The following is a 3650-nucleotide window of genomic DNA, read 5'->3' on the forward strand; positions in this document are numbered from 1 at the left end:
CCTATGATTTGAGCAGATAATTCCAAATGTTACAATCATATGTAGTTCATTACCCAACTTGGATTTTACCTATTAAAGTGAGCATTAGTAAAAAAGATATAATCTATATGTAAAAACATTGATCTGTTCAAACATGTAATATTATACTCTTATTAAAGAAGAACATTTAAGTTAACATACCACACTTCACTGGTCTCAAGTAACTTAAAAAATTTAAAAATTAAAAAAAACCACTCAAATTGAGAAAAGGAAGTTTATTTAAAAGGTGCTTATCTATACAATGTTATTTATCTGCTGAATACCCTTAAACAAATCATTTTTCCAGCAGTCCATTATCAGCTCGGTTTGCTCATCTGGAAAATGGCGTCATGGTGGGCTAGCTTTCTTGTAGAATGATATAAGCATGAAATTAGTTATGCCATGTAATGCACCTAGCACAATGCCAAGCATTTTTCAGTGCTTTTAAAAATGTTAGTCCTTCTCATTTCCCATAAAATATTTTCTTGGTAATAGTCTCTTTCCAGGTGATGTGTACAAAAGTAACACAAACAGTACTCAGTGGAAGGTCTTTGCAGATGCTTCTCACAATAAATCCGGACTAAAGTCCCATGCCTAAGTTCTTACTGAGGAAGGGGACAAAGCCAGCCCAGGTGTTCAGTAGAAGCAGACGGTGTGAAGAAAGCTTTTTCCTGCCTTCTCCTCCATTTGCAACAGCAGCTCTTCCAGATTGTCTTCCATGTCGTCTGACTGCTGCAGGCACTGGCAAATCTCACAGATGAGGAAAGCTCCCAGGGTGGCATCTTCCAGGGTATCTTGGATTTCCATGTTGATCACGTGCACAGGCTGAAAGGTCTGCTGTTCTCTGGAACACAGATCTTCCACCACTGTGTCATAGACACTCTCCTCACAGGTGAAGATGACATCAAAGAAATCAGTGCACTCCTGAAATCTTTCTGGACCGGGCTTGATTCTCTCATTTCTTCCCAAGATGTGTAGGATTCCGTTGCGGGTGTAGCGTTCTCTATCTTTCCTGAGGAGGTCATTGTACATCTCCTTATATGTTGTTGCAAAATCGTAAACTACAGGACGATTGGGTCTTGGTCCTGGTAGCCTCACATGAGATTCAGTTCCAAAAGACCGGACACTTAGCCCTTTTCTCCTGAGGATGCTGTGGGCCTCCATGCTCCTGTTGACATTGCTCACGCACACCACAGCCACCCTGAGTGTGGAGGAGAGCATGATGGCGGCCACTGGGAACCAGAGAGACACAGGCACCTCAGCTGCTGCAGGGACTCGGAGCCGAGGAGACGACCACCTATATCCAGGTCTTCCAAACGAGCTAATGTGGAGGCACAGGAGGCAGGTTTATATTGAGTCACCTTAATGAGTGGGTGGAGACTTCATGACTTCTGGATTGATTAGGTTGTGATAATCATCTCCTAACTCATCACAAGAACAATCAAGATGATTAAATTACCTAAAGCAGTAACTCTCCACAAAGGTGGCACCACCCAGTCTGGATTCATTTAAAATCTGGAGTTTGCTCTGGTGGTTCTCCTAGTGAATGGGGGCTGCTATGGACAATGGCCAAGACAAGCTACCTGCAAGCATGTCATAGGACTCTCCAGTGACCTCCAGACATGAAATTGGATGATAAACATGTTCACGATGTGCAAGGCTGTACCCTATTTAATTATAAATTATAAGTGTTGTTGCTTGTTTTAATTTTCATAGTGTTCGAGAAATGCAATTGCATAAATCACAGGACCACTGTATATAGTTTTGTCCGGAAATCCACAAAATTTTTCACCAATACAAAAAAAATCCCATTCTCAACAACATATCTGCTTATGGTATTTTAAGAGTTATTCAACACAACATTTTGTGAATTTGATATTACTGAAATCATAATGATTCTTCAGGGAATGCAGGAATTGATGCAATCCTCTGCCTCCAAGTACAGCTATGTTTGAGCTTTTCTATACTTAAATGCAATGTTTAGAATTTTTTTCGTAGTTGTGTAATTTATCAAGAAAATAAACGAGATTTTAAAATTATGAATGGGGTTTCAAAAAATAAGACAATCATGTCACTTTTAGATTGATTAGATTATGATAATGGACTGCTAAGTAATTGCAAGAACAATCAAAATGATTACATTCCTAATTCAGTAACTCTCCACAAAGGTGGCCCCACCCAGTCAAGATTGATTTATAGGTGCGCTCTGTTTTCTGTCGCTCACTGATTTACCAAATATTGGGTAAATAATAATTTTTTTATTTTGGAGGAGTCTCGCTCTGTCACCTAGGCTGGAGTGCAATGGTACAATATTGGCTCACTGCAACCTCTACCTCCGAGGTTCAAGGGATTCTCCTGTCTGAGCCTCTCAAGTAGCTGAAGACTACAGGCACGCGGCACCACACCCGGTTAATGTTTGTATTTTTAGTAGAGATGGGGTTTCACCATGTTGGTCAGGCTGGTTTTGTACTTCCGACCTCAAGTGATCTGCCCGCTTTGGCCTCCCAAAGTGCTGAGATTACTGCTATGAGCCACCTCACCCGGCCCAATTTTACTTGTTTTTAGTAATCCTTCTTAAATGTATGTATAGCTCACATTTATTTCAATATAAATCAGATCAGAGACATCACTTTTGTCCTTGATGCAGGGACAAAATCTATCTATAAAGGAACATATTGTATTTTTCTATGTCCCTCTTAAGGTGATTCTTACATGGCAAATACAGCAGGTTGTCAAAGAACATCTTTTTTTTTTTTTTTTCTTTTTTGAGACACAGTTTTGCTCTGTCACCCTGGCTGGAGTGCAGTGGTGCCATCATGGCTCACTGCAGCCTCAAACTCCTGGGCTTAATCAATCCTCCCACCTCAGCCTCCTGAGTAGCTGGAACTACAGGTGTGTACCACCACGCCTGGCTAATTTTTTTTTTTTTTTTTGTAGAGGGTGGGGTTTCACCATGTTACCCAGGCTGGTCTCAAATTCCTGGGCTCAAGTGATCCACCCGCTTTGGTCTCCCAAAGTGCTGGGATTACAGGCATGAGCCACTGTGTCCAGCCTCAAATAATATCATTTTATTATAATATTAACTTAAAAAATTGACTTCTGGCAGGCCAATGTCTGCGTGGGGTTTGCATATTCTCTCCATGTCTTTGTGTTTTTTCTCTGGATACTCTTGTTTCTTCCCACGTCCCGAAGATGTGCACATTAGATGAAGTGACATCTCTATGGTCCCAGTATGGGGGTGTGCCCTGAGCCCCGGATGGGGTCCTGTCCAGCGTTGGTTCCTGCCTCACACCTTGAGCTGCCGATAGGTTCCAGCCACCTGCCACTCTGAACTGGAATCAGCAGGTTGGAAAATGAAGGAATGAATACAAATTATTGAAAAATAAAAATTCATAAAACGTGGTAATCATACAAATGCAAGACAATAACGATGAAAGTACAAGATAGATCAGCCAGCCTGCCGTGTCTGTCATTATTGATTTTTTAACTGTGTAGTAGTAGGAGGTGCTCCTTACAATTTTTTCTCTGCAAGCATTTATTCCTTGATTTAACTTACCACAACTACGACCGCCATCACTCACTGACTCACCAAAAATTGGGTGAATAATAATCTTACTAGGTTTTATTAGGCT

The 3650-nt window shown here is 41.0% G+C and overlaps 1 protein-coding gene across 1 annotated transcript; it reads right to left on the bottom strand.

Annotated features, from left to right (window-relative positions):
• Window positions 1–239: 239 nt before the first annotated feature.
• SSU72L1 (SSU72 like 1) lies at window positions 240–1340 on the bottom strand. The gene has a single exon (NM_001413998.1). The coding sequence runs from the start codon at window positions 1237–1239 to the stop codon at window positions 655–657; it is 585 nt and encodes a 194-aa protein (NP_001400927.1). The 5' UTR covers window positions 1240–1340; the 3' UTR covers window positions 240–654.
• Window positions 1341–3650: the final 2310 nt, after the last annotated feature.

Source organism: Homo sapiens, chromosome 11, assembly GCF_000001405.40.
Source record: "Homo sapiens chromosome 11, GRCh38.p14 Primary Assembly".
Lineage (NCBI taxonomy): Eukaryota > Metazoa > Chordata > Mammalia > Primates > Hominidae > Homo > Homo sapiens.